Genomic DNA, 19,871 nt, shown 5'->3' on the forward strand with positions numbered 1-19,871 from the left:
TAACTGCTGTACTGTATTTTATACATCATTGGACACAGCTTTAGGATGTTCTTCGGAGGCAACAGGGTGTAATTAACTAACCAGTTAATTAGTGAACACCCTCTACTTGTTTGGCTCTTCATTGTGCTCAAAGCCCCTTTAGATTCATAGTCTCAGTGGTCATAAGTCCGTGAATGAGGCATTATTACCCCAAACGTACAGATGAGGTCACAGACTCAGTCCTGGCTCTGGCTTTGTGATCACACAGCTGGAGAGTGGTGAAATGCAGAGGGTTTTCCACTATGGCAGCCTTCAGGGTGGGTTTATACCCTTCCGTTTTCATTCACACTCAGCTCAGGAGATTGAACCAGTTGGAATGCAGTCCTCCAGTTTGGTGTCTAGACTTATGCTTTACAATACACAGTCGCCACCAGCCACTTGTAGCTATTTAAATTTAAACTATTTAAAATTAAATCAGATTAAAAATTCAGTTTCTCAGTTGCAGAGCCACATTTCAAGGACTGAGTAGCCACATATGGCTCGTGGCTGCTCTACCAGAGAACACTGCTTTTGACTACTGTTTCTCTGATAGTGTTTTGGAAAACACTGATGTTTTGGAGAACATGCTGGGTTATGGGTGTCAGTAAGGTTTTTGAGGTCAGATAGGTTCGGTAAATGCTGCATGTCATATTCCCTCTTGAATATTCACAAAACACCACAGTATATTAAAGAAATCAGGCAGTCAAGAAATGAGTTTAACTTTGTTTAAACAACAGTTCCCAAGTTTGTTCAATAATGGACGCCTATTTCATGCAGCAACCATTAACAGAATTCTTTGGGGGCACAGGTTGGGAAGTTCTGGTAGTGTTACACGCTTATACATACATTATTATGAACCTTCTCTGTGTTTTAACAAAAATTAGAAAAGCTTCAGCACTCCCAGTAAAGATTTCCTCAGATTCTCATCTTTCCATTAAACTATCACCTTACCCAGGCAGTGCCCTCAAACATTTTGAGGTCCAGAGGGTCTCCCTGGATGGTCCCATTGAGAAGGATCAGAGAGTGGCAGCTGGCCATGGCCGCACACAGTGGGCTCCATGGCACAGCCTGGCCTGAGGCAAAGCTGTGGGCTTCCTGGAAGCTGGTAGAGAAGGTAATGTTAAAGTCTTTGATAAAATCATTTTGCACATTCTGTCCCTTAAATCTTACTAAAGTGGAGCTCCAAACACCTAACGTTCATGCTCAGAACCTTCCCATGGCTCCCTATGCTCCAAATGATAAAGTCCAAACCCCTTAGCCTGGTATTCAAAGTCTTGTCCACTTCGGATCTACCTTACCTTACAGTGTCCACTCCTACTAATGTCCTCTATGCCCTGTACTCTAGATCCACATTAAACTTCTTGCTATTGCTATGCTTGTCCAGAGACTTCTCTGCTCTTAAGCCCCTGCCCACTTGGTTTCTTTATTTTTTAAACAGGGTGTTTTGCCTACAGAGTTATCTTTATATAAACATTTCTTTGAGTTGGATATGAATTTTGTTCTCAACAGAATTTTCCACTGGCCAATCAATAACATAGTTTCAGAGGCTTTGGATAGAATTGCAGGGACTTTTTTCATATTACTTGAAGCCAGCCCACATAATGGCAGCATTGTGGGAAGGCACTGAACAGGCAGCTGGGAGTCATACCTGCAAACTCTGTAGAGCTGTCTGCAGAAAGCCACACAGCCTAGGCAAGAAGTCTCTAGGGCTACTTAGGGAGCAGGAAATTAGGGATAGGAAAGAAGGCTGCATGGATGCAGAAGCATTTTTCACGTCTCAGCCCTTTAGAGTTTGCCCCTACTTCTTGAAGCACCCTGGACATCCCACCTCTAAAGCCTGTTTTTCTCTTTGATAATACAAACTGGTATCTTGTATCTTCCTCTCTTCCCACCTTACAGCTGAATAGTGATTGTGTCTAGTTGTTTCTAGTCTCCGAAAACCTTCAGAGTACCAGAGACAAGGGAGGAAGATGGAGGGGTGGAAACTGTGGACATCTTTTTTCCCTTTCACTGCTCTGGCCAATAGATTCCTTGCCTGTCTGGGCAAAGGGCTGGCCGGGACATCTGAGCACCAGGAGCAGAGACACATCAGTAGGGTTAAAGCTCAGGTGTTCCTTGTCACCCAGTCCAGGGTATCTTCTGCAACATCACACTGCTTGTCTGCTGTTACCTTGTGCCATGCTTTACCTGGCCCCTTCGTCATCTTGGGAGTCCCCTGCAAAGTGTCTTCTGTCACTGACAGCAGCCTCAGCCACTGTTGGCACCAAAATAGGGTACTTAGAGCTTAAGAGCAGAGGCCATCGCCGCTCAAATTGAGAAGGCAAGTCTTAGCCCATAGGGAAGGAGCTAGAAGCCACAGGGAGATACCATGAGGAGATTCACCCTCCAGGGGCCCTCTTTCCCTTCTGTAGCTCTTTCTGGAGTAGACATCTATGTGATTGTCCTCTCCTCTCCCTAGTGCCAGCTTTTAGCCCACAGCTGTAAAAATTCTAGCCGCACGTCCCTCAAAACCTATCTGAAGTGCCATCTCCTTCAGGTGGCTTTCTTTGATTCACTAAATTTCAAAATTAATTTGTCTTTACCCACCATGTAATTATATAAAAGTCAGGACTTTGTGTTATATCAAATAATCTCCATTTCTTCTTCTCCATTCTGACATTTCTGCCTTAATAGTAACAATTTTCATGGCCTGTGTTGTACATCAAAGGTGGGTGTATTTGCACCTTTTTATCCCGCTAGACTGTGAAACACCACCTGCCTGCGCTAGCCACCCAGGAAGTTTTGTAGTTTTTAATTAAGCATGGTCTTCATTTCACTCTTTTTTCTCTGTTTTATTCATTTAGTTCCTTAATTATCCACCTCATCCTACTCCATTTTTCATGGAGATTTTGAAGACCTACTTTTCCTTTCTCATTCTGAAATTAGAATTCATTTAAGCAAGTTAGAATAATTAGGAACTAGTTCCAGCCAACTATTGTATATATTTTATGTGACATTCATCCCTTAACACCCAAAAGATGGATTTGAGTATCATCCAGGTAACTCCACCAAACACACCTTCCATTTTCACATAAGAGGCCTACCAGTTGTCAGCAGTAGGGACAGTCCCCCAGAGGTCCAGCCCATCTTCAGTGAGAGTGCCAGTCTGAGTAAAAATTAAAAGCAATATTAGCATAAGATTTAAAGCTTTTAATTATATAGTAATTTAAACAAAACCCAAGTTTCTAAGATATTATAGTAGATCCAGTAGTCTAAATACCTTGTTTATAAGTACCAAATTTTAAATCAGAGAGGAGTACCCACAAGAAAAATTAAGCAGGTGATACATGATCCCCAAAAGACCATGTCGATAATTAGGTGATTTCAGTTACTAATGATGAGGAAAAAATGAAAGTGTTTTGTTTTGGTTTGGTTTGTGTATTGCTATGACCGTTGCTGTTGTTAACCAGGAGAGGTTCAGTACAAGAATCAGCTCGAGTCTGACTTTTAGTTGTCACCTGCTATCTCGCTGAAGCAGAGCTCATTTTTTTTTGTTCATTTTCGAGACTGTTCAGTTCACAGTTTGCCATCTGGTTCACAGTAATTTTCTAAAAATATGGGTGACACAGTGACTGTCCAGATTGATAATGAAATGTTGATAAAGGGCTTTGAGACTATAGAGAGAAAGTAAATGCTAATAATAAATATTAATTAATGCCCATAAGTGGATTTTATTTTTAGATCAAGGGAAAAATAGTTCAGAGATTTGATTCGCCATACTATGGGAGAGTATTTGTTAGATAATGAAACAGAGAAAGAAAAATGGAGCCGAGTACTATCACAGCACTTTTAATTTCCTCATTGTTTCACAGGTGTTGATGAATTACATACTCTGGTGTCTTGATGCAGTAGGCTAACAGTTTTAGGCCTGCTTAACACCCTGAGTAAGTGAGTTGGCTACAGCTAGCTGCTTCAGCACTGCCAGGGCCCACCAGAGCTTTACCAAGCATGGCAGAATACCCTGTTTCAACACTAAGATCCAAGTCTCTGACACTACTTTTCAAGCCTATCTCTATAGAAGTCACTGAATTTTCTAGTTTTCTATAAAATGGCAACCTCCGTCATTATAGCACATCCATTAGCATAATGCTTTACAGGAAAGTGTTTACAATGCTTTCCATTTCACAACTGAGTTAACAGGGTGGAGGCAGGTTAGAGGTGAAATGAGGAGCCTAATGTCATAGTGGCCTGTAGGTTGGAGAGGCAGAACCAAAATCCAGCCCTTCTGGAGTCTTCCTCCAAACTAGCAAATGTTAAGTGAATCATACGGGGTATGTGGAAAGACAAAGCTCTTTCTGGGTTTCTAGATTAAATAATTAAGAAAACTTTGTTTCATTCATTTATTTGAACTTCACAAAGAAGGTGCTAACACACGAGTGAATTATTTCTTAAACAACAACTTTTTGAAAAAGAGCTATTTGTTTCATTTCTCTCCTGCATTTTATAAAGGACTCCACCATGTTCGGTTTCCAAATCCCCTCAAGTTGTTGCATTTCAAAAAGAGTTTGCAACTTAATTCAAACTGATATGTTTTCCTGATGATGTTTTTAAACATCAATATTTTGAACATGAAAACAGAGATGATACTGCAGCAAAACAGAAATTAGATTATGTTATCTCTCTATGAAAATGACCCCTTAACAATAAAACTAACCATAAATAGAGAAAACTAAATTATAGTTGAGGTTCTAAGGGGAATAAGATAGAAAGAGAAAACCTCTTAGCATAAATTCAAGCCCAGGCTTGGGCTGAATTGAATAAAAAGAAAGAACTTGTCTTACAGAAGTTATAACAAACCAATAGAAAATAGAAATAGATATGAGAACAAATGGACTCAGAAACCCAGTGACAGATATCTCCGAAACTGGAAATAACACTAGATGAAAATTCAATTAATGGCAGAGTGCTTTATTCCAACATGATGGTGATAGAATTTTATAATGTGAAAGCTGGAAAGAAACTCAGAGACGATTGTGGTTGAATCTGCTTTTCTTAAAAAGTCACACAGAGATGGGCCGGGCACGGTGGCTCACGCCTGTAATCCCAGCACTTTGGGAGGCCGAGGAGGGTGGATCACGAGGTCAAGCGATCAAGACCATCCTGGCTAACATGTTGAAACCCCGTCTCTACTAAAAATACAAAAATTAGCTGGGCATGGTGGTGCACGCCTGTAATCCCAGCTACTCGGGAGGCTGAGGAGAATCACTTGAACCCAGGATGCGGAGGCTGTAGTGAGCTGAGATTGCACCACTGCACTCCAGCCTGGTGACAGAGCGAGACTCCATCTCAAAAGAAAAAAAAAAAAAGGTCACACAAAGACTTAGTACCAAATTCTGGGTCAGATTTCTCATTTTGCCAAATTTCAATCAAGAGTTTTTTGCACTGTCACGTGTCATCATGCCCTGCAGAGTTTGACCAAGGACACCTAAAAGCAGCCTCACAGACAGCCTGGCAGGTGAGGACATGAGGATGTGGAGGGAGAGGTTTTATACAGGAAATAAAGTGAACAGCCTCGGGAAAATTAATTTTAGAAACAGTTGAATATGTAATGAACATATTTCATAAGTCTCCCTCTTATATTCCAGACACCAGTGAGGCTCATGAGGAAGTAACAGGAATCCCTGTTAGAGAACTTCCAAGGGGGTGTTATTTGGCCCTGAATCTAAAATGAAGTTAACCTTGTCGGTTCTTGACTGGTGGTGATCGAGAACTTTCTTTGCCAAACAAAATACAAACAGAAAGAGAACTGACATAACCTAAGAGATATACCCCTTTCACCTGGGGACCAAGCCTGGTCGAGTCTACTCATTGGAGTCACTCCCATTTGCCTTCTACTCTCCATCCTTGTCCTTTTTGTCTGGGACAAGCAATGATCTCTTCTGTTGTCCCCAGATGGCCTCTTTCTTCAGTCTTGTCTCCCTTCCATCCCATCTCCCCAGTTGCCCCTGGTGGGATAGAAAACACCTAAAGAAATGTCACCAGTCTTCTTAAAAAGTAAAGGCTCCTATTCTGCTTCAAGACAAGGACCCACTCCTTAGCGTGGCATATGAGGCCCTTAACAATTGCCCTCAACCCAGCTTCATTCTCTACCTACCAGCCCATATTCTAGCCACACCCCATGGTCCTCTGTTCCCCACATGCAGTGGGCCCCTTGTACCCCTGTGCTTGTCAGCTGCTCAGCTCTGAGCCTGGGGCTTATTCTTTCTAACAACCAAGGCTGCACCTCAAAGGTGGCCTCCAACCGTGGCAGGTAACTGTGCCCCGCGCTTTCCTCAGGCCTCTATTAAACACACATCTCACAGCATGATCGCCATCTACACTCCCATTTTCCTGCTTTCTCAGCTAGACTAGAAGCTTCTCAAGGGCTAGGAATGACTCATTATGGGACTCTCTACCAGCATTGTACACAGCAGTGGCTCTCTGCCACAAAATGGCAAAGGCCCTAATAAATTATTCAAATGCACATGAATTGAAGACAAAAGGGACCCAGCCAGGCCCACTGCTTTACAGCAGTTAAACTGGCCTGTCCAAGCTGAGGGCAGGATCCAAATAGCAGGCAGCTAATGCTGAAGTCCTCCAGGTTCCCCATAGGAGACTCACGTCATGGGGGGGTGTCAGGACCTGCTTGGTAAACGCAGTGTTCCCCATGTGGCATATGCTCCTCCTCTGCCACCTTTCCAGGTCCCTAAGCACAGAGACAACCTAGCCTGGAGTCACAAGCCCTGGAGGAGCAAAGGGGCAGGACAGGGTCATTGTTTCCTTCCTTCCTTTCCTTCAAAGAAGCAGAGGAGGAGAGAGGAAACAGATTCACTTATCTTCTGGACAAAACATTTCAGGAAACAGAAATGTTCCTCACATTTTCTGCCAAGTCAGTCAGTCTAAGAAGTTACATAGTAAGAGATGGTTTTAAAAAAACCACAAACCAGGCACACAAATTATTAAGTTTCACAGATAAAAAATTCATGATGTGCTGGCTAAGCTGCTAACCTTAAGAGTCAGCAGAGCAGGCTCCTAGAATGTGATCTTGCACTAGCTCACTCTGTGACCTTCTCTGGCCTCAACGTTCCTATCTGTAAAATGGGAACACTGGACTAGACATTTTCTGAGGTTCTTCCCAGCTCCACCATGCCTTGAAATCATTAACATTAAACCTGAGAAGTCTGGATCATACTTTGTCAAAGCACACGAGGTTTATTTGCCCACACATGTTGATTCTCTGTGGGGAGATACAGAAGATTTTCTTTTTCTTCAGTCTCTTCTGAGCATACACGTTGCCTATGGTCAGGGCAGCTGGCAGCACTGGAGGGACAGTCACGGTGAGGAGGATCAGGGCCATGGTCACAGTATCTTTTGGAGGAACCTGGGAGAGGACAGACATTTTCATACAGGATAGCCCAGCACAGCAGACTGCCACCCTTCCTAGTGCCAAAGGAATGAGCACATTGTCTCCTACTGCAGAGCAAAGGAGACCTTTGATCCCTACTCCCAGTCCACCAACCCCTTTCCTGGTTCTGTTTCCCTCTACTTAGCATTCCCTCTGCCCAAGCTTGACTGTTGGCTTATGAATCTCTCTCCCCCACTAGCCTACAAACTCCTTGGGTGTAGCAGCTATGGCTTATTCATCTTTGAATCTACCTTATTGATCTCTAGATACAGAGCCTAGCATGGGATTTAGCACAGAGGAGGTGCTCAGGACATAGATTGAATGGATGGCAATATAATTAAAAACTAGGACCAACATCCTTCCAAGATCTCAGCATATATTATTAACTACAGAGAAGCCAATATAAAATTAGCTTGCTCTCACTGGATACTAACTCTGGAGCAGGAACTGTATTAGGCTACGTATATTATTTAGTTGCTCTCTATAACAACCTTATGACGTAAATACTATTATTTTCTCCATTTAACAGGTAAGGAAACTGAGGTTTTAACAATTAAATAATTTTCCCAAGGCCACATACTAGGTAAATGACAGAAATCTGAACCCTATTCTGTCTTACTGCAGGGTACAAACCCATGACCAATATGTTTTATTATCAAGTCAATTTTGTGAACTCAGGATCCCTGGCAGGTGATACGGTTTGGCTGTGTCCCGACCCAAATCTCGTCTTGAATTGTAGCTCCCCTAATTCCCACCTGTAGTAAGAGGGACCCAGTGGGAGGTAATCGAATCATGGGGGCAGTTTCCCCCATAATGTTGTCATGATTGTGAATAAGTCTCATGAGATCTGATGGTTTATAAATGGGATTTCCCCTGCACAAACTCTCTTGCCTGCCACCATGTAAGACATGTTTTGCTTCTGCTTTGCCTTCCAACCATGACTGTGAGGCCTCCCCAGCCATGTGGAACTGTGAGTCTCTTAAACCTCTTTCCTTTATAAATTGCCCAGTCTCAGGTATGTCTTTATTAGCAGCATGAGAACAGACTAATACAGCAGGTCTCCAGAGGAGGCTCACACAATTAAGGTCAGGGATGAGGTCAAATCACAGGGTTGACTGATTGATTGTTTTGTTTTCCTCACATGCTCTAGATATTAATGATTCTACCCTCTAGAACCTCACCTATGTTTTTGTTAAATTAACCATCATTTTAGCCATAAATACTTTTTTAAGTATTGGAAACATGGGATTCAAGTTCAGTAGCAATGTCTGCTGGGACATCTTTTGCCCAATATCAATTTATCACAAAATTCATTACTCCCTTCTTTTCCCAACCACAGACACGGAAGAGTTTTGACCCTAAGGACTCAGCCTTGTCTAGCGCTGAACCAGTGCAGATAGAGGCAGCCAACAGAGCCACAGGTTCTGACCCACAAGAAGTTGGGGTCTGGGATTATTAGTCTTGTTGCCTCAGTGTGTATTGGATGTTAAGTTCTTCCCAGGAAACCTCATTCTCAAATACTGCCAGGGCTTCCATGAGCTTTTTTCCTGCTTTTCTGCCCAATGCTCCAGCTCCCCAGATTAAATTGGCATACTCCCTCAAATTCCAGCCCCAGTGACCTTGACATTCTGCCTAGCTCTTCACAGGCCCCATCGTGGGCCTCTCTTGACCCAGAAATGCTCCCTGGGAGCTATTTCAGATTGAAATAACTACTCAGCAGTTAAGTTTTGGCGTGAACATTGCCTTGAAATTCTTGTTACTATGTCTTTTCCCACCAATATTCACTGCCCACCTCTCTCTCTCTCACACACACACACACACAAACACACACACACAAACACACACACACACACACACACGCTCATTGATGCCACCAATTTGGACATTGTAATTAAGCCACTCACAGTTTTTCACCTGTTTGGATGTTTTATTCACAATTTTCTCTTCCTCCCCACCAGCTCACACTGTTATGATCCCAGACTTTCTTATTTTCTGGTTCACAGCAAAATCAGACTCTCAGGACCAGAAAGGACCTCAGAGGTCTTTAGTGACAACCCTTCCCTCCCTAGCCACCAGGCTATGACAAGGAGCATCCAAATGAAACCTGACACCCTGTAGCTTAAAGGGAAGTAGGTATCTCATGCAGTACCAGCTCTGTAAAAGTGGAAATTAACTTCATTTCAGACCCTAACCAGAACACATGGGAAACCCACTGATTGCATAGTGTTTTAGATATTACCTAAACACTGGGGGCAAACTAGGCATGAGAACATTTCCGCTGTCTAAGAAGCTCTTTTGGACAGTAATGATTCACAGAATGATGGGATCAAGATGTAACCTAAACCAATCCTCTGAGTTAGGTCAAGCTCTTTGCAGAATCTATACTATTGAAAAGCCTTACCCCCAGTACTTACTCCATGGTACATATATACCCCTAGGGCATAGAAAAAACCCATGACACCAAGGCAGGCCAGGAACACGATGAACTTGAAGGCATCGCTGTATAGTTTGAAGTTCAGAGGCCGGGGGTACAGGATGGATCTCACTAAGTCCCCTTTGGCTGTATTGTAACCTACATAAAGATAATCATAGATCAAGTAAGGCTGCTTGATGGACACTTGGTCTCCTAAAAATGGCTTTACTGTCTTTGAGGAAAAGAGTAGAGTGTCCTCTAACCTTCTACCTAATCATTTTATAAGTTTTCAGGTGGTTTTCATGATTTTTAACCATGAGCTTCCATGTAGGCCACAGGCTGAGCAATGCTCTAGTGTCTAGTGCCTGCTAACTAGTTTGAACATTTAAAAAAATTAGATATTTTTAATTTTAAAAAATCAGCTAGAACAACTAAATCATAAACCAAACTAAAGCATGCAGGTATCACAGTGTAAAGTGTATTTTGCATCTGTGAATAAGTCGGGTGGCAGAAACAGAGGTCAGAGGTTAGAACAGAGAGCTAGGACCAGGTCATAGGAGGCCTTCATTGTGTCACGTCATGTAAAAGACTGGGACTCAGGAAGTGTTTGCGGAATCATCCAGATTTGGTGCCACATTTGGTATGGGAAACAAGAGGAGTTGGAGATGTTATTAAGAGACCAGCATGATGGTGATGATATTAACAGAGAAAGTCAATACAGGAGGATGAATAGTTTCAGATTCGTTGGCTTTAACTGGTCTATAGGGCACCCAGGTGGAGTTCTTTATTACTGAATTTGACATACAGCCTAGCAAGCAACTCTTTGAAAGGAAAAAATCCTCATAGTCGTGGTGGCTGAAATTGTTTTTTGGTAATCACTCAGAGGAGGTGTCAAGGGAGATAGAAGCAGCGTATGGTCACAAGCAAAAAGAAGAGCATAGTTTTACCTTTGACAAATTTTACTTCACCTACACATACCCTTCATCACATAGAAGGGTTTTACCAATAAACCATTTAATTAAAAATAGTGACACTTTAGAATAATAAGTGTCTGTTTGGAAAAAAGCATGTTGTTACTACCAGAATGTGGCAGACTCCATAATCCTAAACTAAATTTCCCTAATCCAACTCTCCCCATGTTCAAGCATGAATTAAACTTACAAAAGTGGAATCCACTAACCTGTTTGCAAAACGACTGCTCGTACAGGCCCCTGCCCAGAGGGCTTGACCTGGATAACTTCTGTTCCACAGAAAAGGACGTGTTTCCTATAATCCTCCAAACTGTGACATTTCCAAGGCATAGTGTTCTCCATCTGGGGCAATGGTGTCTTTGTAACAGGTATACTTTCTCCTAAAGAGGATTGTATTTTGTTGAATCTATGTAAGCTCAGGTAGTTGGTCAGAACTGGTGCATGCCAGTTTCAAGAAATTATACAAACCACAACTAATCCGGTCTTAATGCCCATCCCATGAGTCAGATGACTGTTCATAGAGATGCTGGTGGTACAAGCAATGGTAGACTTGATTCTATTGCAAATATTTAGATTAGATCTGCCTATCTATCCTATACCTGGCCTGCATGGTTTGTTGTCATAATTTTAAAAGCAGCCTATTATAGATGAGTTATCACTGAATCATTCTCCCAAGCATTCATTAAGCCCAGCACTATTTTAGGCAATGAAGGAGCTTTCCAGCACGTGAATAGTAATTACTATTTGCTTTGCATTCACTCATTTATTCATTTGTTTATTCATTCACCCATTCATTCAGCTATTTTAGGTGCTTATTCTGTTCCAGGAACTGTGCTAGGTGCTAGGAATATGATGAACAAGAGAGACAGAAATCTTGCCCTCATAAGCTCATGGAGCAAGGTGAGAAAATAGTAGTTATTCCACATCATTTTCAGATGGATCCCATCCAAGTCCCATTTTTATCATCTCATTCTTTTGCTCAAAATCGTTAGCCTTTTCCATTGCCACTACTGAATAAAGACCAAACTCTCCTGCTAGATTGTCAAAGCCTACCATGATTCAAACATCATTGCCTGACATTCCCCTACAAAAGCTCCAGCTCAACTAGGCCACTTGCATTTCCTTTTATTGGCCCCCATTCTTTGCAGGTAGCAATTTTTTTCCTTTCCCTGGTGGCTATAAGACAGAATATTTAAGGTACAAAGAAATCAGCTCAGAGTTCAAAAAGGATACATTTCAGAGACAAAATAAAGATGTTAATAATAATTTTTGGCTCCAAGATTTAAAGAGTATTAGAATGAATTTAAAATTCCATCAGTCTTTTACTAAATGTTCAATTAGCAAGATAACTTGTCATATTTCTAATTTGGAAATAGTATTATATCAATCATAGTTATACAAATTTAGGTCTCATCTCTCTTTCTAGGTCATAACTGGGAACAAGAACTTTGACATATATAAATTTGTATACTCTTCATTTTCCTAGTGATATGTAATAGGTTCAAAACACATAGTTTTTTCTTTTTATTTTATTCTACTTTATATTCTAGGGTACATGTGCACAACATGCAGGTTTGTTACATATGTATACATGTGCCATGCTGGTGTGCTGCACCCATTAAATCATAATTTACATTAGGTGTATCTCCTAATGCTATCCCTCCCCACTCCCCCCACCTCACGACAGGCCCCGGTGTGTGATGTTCCCCTTCCTGTGTCCAAGTGTTCTCACTGTTCAATTCCCACCTATGAGTGAGAACATGTGGTGTTTGATTTTTTGTCCTTGAGATAGTTGCTGAGAATGATGGTTTCCAGCTTCATCCATGTCTCTACAAAGGACATGAACTCATCCGTTTTTATGGCTGCATAGTATTCCATGGTGTATATGTGCCACATTTTCTTAATCCATTCTATCATTGATGGGCACTTGGGTTGGTTCCAAGTCTTTGCTATTGTGAATAGTGCCACAATAAACATACGTGTGCATGTGTCTTTATAGCAGCATGATTTATAATCCTTTGGGTATATACCCAGTAATGGGATGGCTGGGTCAAATGGTATTTCTAGTTCTAGATCCTTGAGGAATCGCCACATTGTCTTCCACAATGGTTGAACTAGTTTACAGTCCCACCAACAGTGTAAAAGTGTTCCTATTTCTCCACATCCTCTCCAGCACCTGTTGTTTCCTGACTTTTTAATGATTGCCATTCTAACTGGTGTGAGATGGTGTCTCATTGTGGTTTTGATTTGCATTTCTCTGATGGCCAGTGATGATGAGCATTTTTTCATGTGTCTTTTGGCTGCATAAATGTCTTCTTTTGAGAAGTGTCTGTTCATATCCTTCGCCCACTTTTTGATGGGGTTGTTTGTTTTTTTCTTGTAAATTTGTTGGCGTTCTTTGTAGATTCTGGATATTAGCCCTTTGTCAGATGAGTAGGTTGCAAAAATTTTCTCCCATTCTCTAGGTTGTCTGTTCACTCTGACGGTAGTTTCTTTTGCTGTGCAGAAGCTCTTTAGTTTAATTAGATCTCATTTGTCAATTTTGGCTTTTGTTGCCATTGCTTTTGGTGTTTTAGACATGAAGTCGTTGCCCATGCCTATGTCCTGAATGGTATTGCCTAGGTTTTCTTCTAGGGTTTTTATGGTTTTAGGTCTAACATTTAAGTCTTTAATCCATCTTGAATTAATTTTTGTATAAGGTGTAAGGAAGGGATCCAATTTCAGCTTTCTACATATGGCTAGCCAGTTTTCCCAGCACCATTTATTAAATAGGGAATCTTTTCCCCATTTCTTGTTTTTGTCAGGTTTGTCAGATGGTTGTAGATGTGTGGTATTCTTTCTGAGGGCTCTGTTCTTTTCCATTGGTCTATGTCTCTGTTTTGGTACCAGTACCACACTGTTTTGATTACTGTAGCCTTGTAGTATAGTTTGAAGTCAGGTAGCATGATGCCTCCAGCTTCATTATTTTGGCTTAGGATTGTCTTGGCAATGTGGGCTCTTTTTTTGGTTGCATATGAACTTTAAAGTAGTTTTTTCCAATTCTGTGTAGAAAGTCATTGGTAGCTTGATGGGGATGGCATTGTATCTATAAATTACCTTGGGCAGTATGGCCATTTTCACAATGTGGATTCTTCCTATCCATGAGTGTGGAATGTTCTTCCATTTGTTTGTGTCCTCTTTTATTTCATTGAGCAGTGGTTTGTAGTTCTCCTTGAAGAGGTCCTTCACATCCCTTGTAAGTTGGATTCCTAGGTATTTTATTCTCTTTGAAGCAATTGTGAATGGGAGTTCACTCATAATTTGGCTCTCTGTTTGTCTGTTATGGGTGTAGAAGAATGCTTGTGATTTGTGCACATTGATTTTGTATCCTGAGACTTTGCTGAAGTTGCTTATCAGCTTAAGGAGATTTTGTGCTGAGACGATGGGGTTTTCTAAATATACAATCATGTCATCTGCAAAAAGGGACAATTTTACTTCCTCTTTTTCTAATTGAATACCCTTTATTTCTTTCTCCTGCCTGATTGCCCTGGCCAGAACTTCCAACACTATGTTGAATAGGAGTGGTGAGAGAGGGCATCCCTGTCTTGTGCCAGTTTTCAAAGGAAATGCTTCCAGTTTTTGCCCATTCAGTATGATATTGGCTGTGGGTTTGTCATAGATAGCTCTTATTATTTTGAGGTACGTCCCATCAATACCTAATTTATTGAAAGTTTTTAGCATGAAGGGCTGTTGAATTTTATGGAAGGACTTTTCTGCATCTCTTGAGATAATCATGTGGGTTTTGTCTTTGGTTCTGTTTATATGCTGGATTACATTTATTGATTTTCATATGTTGAACCAGCCTTGCATCCCAGGGATAAAGCCGACTTCATCATGGTGGATAAGCTTTTTGATGTGCTGCTGGATTTGGTTTGCCAGTATTTTATTGAGGATTTTTGCATCGATGTTCATCAGGGATATTGGTCTAAAATTCTCTTTTTTTTGTTGTGTCTCTGCCAGGCTTTGGTATCAGGATGATGCTGGCCTCATAAAATGAGTTAGGGAGGATTCCCTCTTTTTCTAGTGATTGGAATTGTTTCAGAAGGACTGGTACCAGCTTCTCCTTGTACCTCTGGTAGAATTCGGCAGTGAATCTGTCTGGTCCTGGACTTTTTTTGGTTGGTAGGCTATTAATTATTGCCTTAATTTCAGAGCCTGTTATTTGTCTATTCAGGGATTCAACTTCTTCCTGGTTTAGTCTTGGGAGGGTGTATATGTCGAGGAATTTATCAATTTCTTCTAGATTTTCTAGTTTATTTGCATAGAGGTGTTTATAGTATTCTCTGATGGTAGTTTGTATTTCTGTGGGATTGGTGGTGATATCCCCTTTATCATTTTTTATTGCATCTATTTTATTCTTCTCTCTTTTCTTCTTTATTAGTCTTGCTAGCAGTCTATCAATTTTGTTGATCTTTTCAAAAAATCAGCTCCCGGATTCATTGATTTTTTTAAGGGTTTTTTGTGTCTCTATTTCCTTCAGTTCTGCTCTGATCTTAGTTATTTCTTGCCTTCTGCTAGCTTTTGAATGCGTTTGCTCTTGCTTCTGTAGTTCTTTTAATTGTGATGTTAGGGTGTCAACTTTAGATCTTTCCTGCTTTCTTTTGTGGGCATTTAGTGCTATAAATTTCCCTCTACACACTGCTTTAAATGTGTCCCAGAGATTCTGGTATATTGAAAACACATAGTTTTTTCAAATGCGCAGATGAATTAAATAAAAATGCCCAAGTTTCTCTATGATTGGTTTTTCAAAACTCATTTTCTGCTGTGATGTATTTTTACATGCTAAGGTGTAAGAAGCTATAAAATTGTTATTAGCAATCTTGAATATTTTTCAAGAAATTCTTTTAGGCAAGTGTTGTTCCCTATGCCATTTTCTTTAAAACAATTATGATATTCATCCATTGTGTAGATGTATCAATTGCATTCTATGGCTTCGTAGAAGGGTTAGAATGTTTTGACAAATCTCCAAATTATGGTACTACATTGTTTTGAAATCAGCCTTTGTAAGAGGCGAATACTTAGAGATCATTTCCTTTTTTTTTGCTTTTGAATCACAGAATATTAATCCACAATATATACTTAGGCTAACATCAGTAAACTGTTTTCTGCACACAAAACCAATGAAACTGGAGGCAGTCATGTATTGATCAATCAGTAATGGAAGTCATTTGCAGATAATTTGTTCCAGAGATAATAGTCAGATGATTTTACAGAGAGATGGTTTTCAAGTCTCTTTTATGCTATTTGCATATTAATAAGAAGCCTCATGTTTTGGCCTTTCTGGGGAGCCCAAGAAAGGATGATTCATCTACAAAAGATGTGGGGTCCAAGGCAGCTGAAGAGAGTTTTAGAGGAAAGAACCATCATTGCTCATAATCAACTGTACATTTGGCTCCCTGTGCTGTCACGTGGAGGTTCTCTCCCTTGTCCACAAGGATCAAGATGCCTCTTCATGGTGACAGTGTTTGAAATTCCAAGTCCTTTTAATTTATAGTTCTAGAACCATTAGACTGTAAATGTTTTGAGACCAGAGACCATTTCTCTTTTAACTTGGTGACACCAATACGCAACACAGTACCTGGCACATGGTAGGCATTTCTGAGCTTTTATTGAGTAAATGGATGAACAAATAAGTAAAAGGAAAGGGAGAAGGAGGATGATAAAAAGAGAGGACGAAAGGATCAAAGGAAGAGAGAAAAAGATCTGACCTATCAACTGATGATAAGCTCGTCTGACAGGATATCGATGTGAGATCATCACTTAGGAAAATCCCTGCATGTCCAACTCAGGTCACTGCACTCTCGCCCCACACACATCTCAAATACATCAGCAGCTTAATGAAGAGAAGAAGAGGGAAGGGGATTGCGGCAGAGTGCATGCCACCCCTCTTCGCCATAATTATCCCTAAGAGAATGAGGAAACACTGATTACAAGCCTAGGTTCTGGGGACAAAATGCCTGTATTTAAGGCATTAAATTTATTTATTAAGACAATAGAAGTCTTCTGTTTTCTTCATATAACTTATAACTGTTGAAAATTTGTGTCATTTGTATACTTTCATGTTTTCTGTCTCTGTCACTAGAATATCAGCTCCACAAGGGCAGAAATCTTATCTGCCTTTTTCACTGCTATGTCACCTGCAGAGTTCCTGCTCCATAGTAGGGGCTAATAAATATCTGTAGAATGAGTGAATTCACAAACAAATCCAAATCTCAGCTGTGCCACTTCTAAGCTGTGTGACCTTAGGCAAATTAGTTACCCTTTCTGGGCCTCAGATTTGCCCACTCTAATAGAGTTGCAGGTTGAATGAAATAGTATATGTAAAATGTTAGCACAATGCCTAATACATATGAGAACTAAGAAAAAAAGCTATAGTGCCAAGAGATAATTTCTAAATTAACATATTCCCCCCCCCTCCCAAATGATATTCCCTTTTGTCTCCAGACTCCTCCCATTTGAGAGAAGCTAGATCTTGAAGTTGATTATTGTTTCAGGAAAGACAGCAGAAGAGAAGGACGGGGGAGTTGATCACTGGCTTTTGAGTTTTTGAAGTCCTTCATGAGTTTGATCATGGATTGAGAGACTATCTGAGAGTAAGAACAAAGTTTTTCTGCTCACCATGCCTTTCCTCTACTGCATTTCTAGCTAAATCAAAGTCCTCGTACTGGGAGTTGGAAGAGAATCCAACGGGACTTAGATGTGGTGTGTCCCTGAGAGAAGAGGTGTGCACCACAGTAGAACACGGGAACATGCAACAAGGTTGTGGAAACAGCGCGAACAGCACCAGGATCTGCTGCCCTGTCCAGGTAAATAGGCCTCAGACAGCTCAGAGTGGAGTGGGAGCAGCAGGAAGAAGAGCTGCCCTCCATCAGACCCCTCTCCCTGATGTCTTGCACATCTTAGGACAGTCAGACAAGGGTGAGGAAGACCACCTAACTGATGGGGACAACTGTCTGACTCATATTAGATATTCACACTGGACACTTTTAAGGATGGCAAAATTTGGAACCGACATAAAAATTAAGTGTAGTTATAAAATAAAGGTAAACTTCTTGCACAGCTGAATTTATGACAATAGCATAAGGCTAAGGAGAGCAGGAGGAGAAGAGCTTACCAAAAAGTGGATACTATTGATGGGAATACCAAGTAGGGAGAAAAAGGTGATGAGGCAGGAAGATGAAGTCAGCAGCTTTTTCCAGCTTAGAATTATCTTTCTCACGCCTATGGTCCTTTATATTTGGGAGCGAATGCCACCTCCAATTCTGATCCTTTCACTTGCTAGCCGAGCAGCTCTGGTCTTTTTACCTCACTCTCCTCATTTGTAAATCGGTATTCTAACAGCTCCTAGTCTAATTTGTTTTATACCATGATGAAGTGAGATATAAAAGTTATTTATAAAATGTAAGTTGCTATAGAGATGCTAGGAATATTTGATATTTTTATTCTTACATAAATAAAGACTTCTATCTATGCAAAGGACCATTTCGTACATAGGGAAGAAATACCTAAATCATATTTGTGGACAAATTCCCTAGGAATACATTTGCAGTTTCAGGAATCTTACCTTAATCCTCTGTTTAATCAAGATCCTTTCCACAAATATGTACATGAGTGGGAGGATCTATGTAGGCTGTGCAATAAAGTATTTAGACCAGACTGGGATTTAGATCTTTCTGAAGAAGTTAACAAAAAAGAAATAATGTATTTTTACTTCATGTGTCTGTCTCTGAAACTGGCCTCTATCGGTACTTAAGTTACACAGATATTAGTGCTGATGAGTTCGTTTTTCCAAAAAGGAAAACTAGAAGCCACTTGTCATTTAAGGTTATTTGGAGCCATTTTGCACATTTGTTGAAAGGCAGCGTTGTTTGTCATTTCTATTCCTCTGGAACTCTCTGAGTTTTCCTGGGAATCAAGGCAAGTTCTATACACCCGCTACAGTGAAAGGAGAGAGGGCAGCCCAAGGGCAGTGAGACTTTCTGTGTTTCCTCCCCATGTCTGCTCACTGCCACACTCTCTGTTACCAATGAGAGAAGTCATTCTTCACTGTCAGGCTGCTGGGAGGTGTGAGGCAGCTGCTGTGTTTGAATGAGAAGGACAGTTTTCCTTGGGCTTGAGGTTTACAGGTCAGATACTATGGCAACATTCTGGGTAAAAGATATGATCAGTATGCAAATCCTCATCACTATCATTATAGGACACATTTCAACACATTAAAGGAGTATTTTGTAATTATACTGAACATATTTATGTTAACTACATTTTCTTGTCTCAATTTTGAATTAAGCAGACCCATTTTAATGTAAAATCTGCTTGTGTTGAACAATTTAGGGATAGATAATGAACTCTCCCTACATTTAGGTCATGTTAAAACATTTTCCCTGTCTTTATACCATTTGGAAACAGAAAAACTAAACAGTCTGTAAGCATAAAAGACAAAGTTTCTATTTCTGTGTTGCTGTATAGTCTCTTCTCTCATTACAATGTGCTGTGTATTTTAATTTTTTGCCTAAAGAATATTTTATAAGTAGTATCTTACTAATTAAACAAATTCAAGTAGACTTAACAAAGTACAAATGAGAACTAGGACTGCCTGAACTATAACTAGAAGATTAGTTTCTGCTCAGTGAGATCAACAGGAATATAAATCTAAAGAACAGAACTGTGCGATCGTCTTTGCCCGGAGGTTCAACTCAAACTCCTTTCCTGTGAAACCTTGGCCTCAGTAGTTTTCTATCTACAGAGTGCAGGGTTGGATAAAACCTCTATGGCCTTCCAATTGTGGGAGTCATGGTTTTTAAGGTTGCATCTCTTTTGTACATGTGTATAAACCATTCTCATGTTTATGAAGAGATTGTGCTTCAAACTGTGTAGTGCTCTCATCCTCCTCTGAACCCAAAGCACCCTATTCACCCCACTAATTGGTCAATTAATCACATGTCATATTAAACATTTGTTTTCATTTCACATTTATTGTGACTTAATTCTTATATTGTTAAACATTTCC

General features: G+C 40.5%; 1 protein-coding gene across 3 annotated transcripts in view; it reads right to left on the reverse strand.

Moving 5' to 3' along the window:
• ATP13A5 (ATPase 13A5) overlaps window positions 1-19,871 on the reverse strand; it is a 103,965-nt gene that overhangs the window by 49,106 nt on the left and 34,988 nt on the right. For 2 of the 3 annotated variants that reach the window (NM_198505.4, XM_011512770.3), the window contains exons 10-14: window positions 11,035-11,205; window positions 9,856-10,013; window positions 7,229-7,417; window positions 3,102-3,163; window positions 970-1,120 (exon numbers count right to left, since the gene is read on the reverse strand). In NM_198505.4, coding sequence (NP_940907.2) covers window positions 970-1,120; window positions 3,102-3,163; window positions 7,229-7,417; window positions 9,856-10,013; window positions 11,035-11,205 — 731 coding nt within the window. The remainder of the gene's footprint in view (window positions 1-969; window positions 1,121-3,101; window positions 3,164-7,228; window positions 7,418-9,855; window positions 10,014-11,034; window positions 11,206-19,871) is intronic. The other variant, XM_047448075.1, reaches the window with a different exon arrangement.

The sequence above is a fragment of the Homo sapiens genome, chromosome 3 (assembly GCF_000001405.40).
Source record: "Homo sapiens chromosome 3, GRCh38.p14 Primary Assembly".
Classification (NCBI taxonomy): domain Eukaryota; kingdom Metazoa; phylum Chordata; class Mammalia; order Primates; family Hominidae; genus Homo; species Homo sapiens.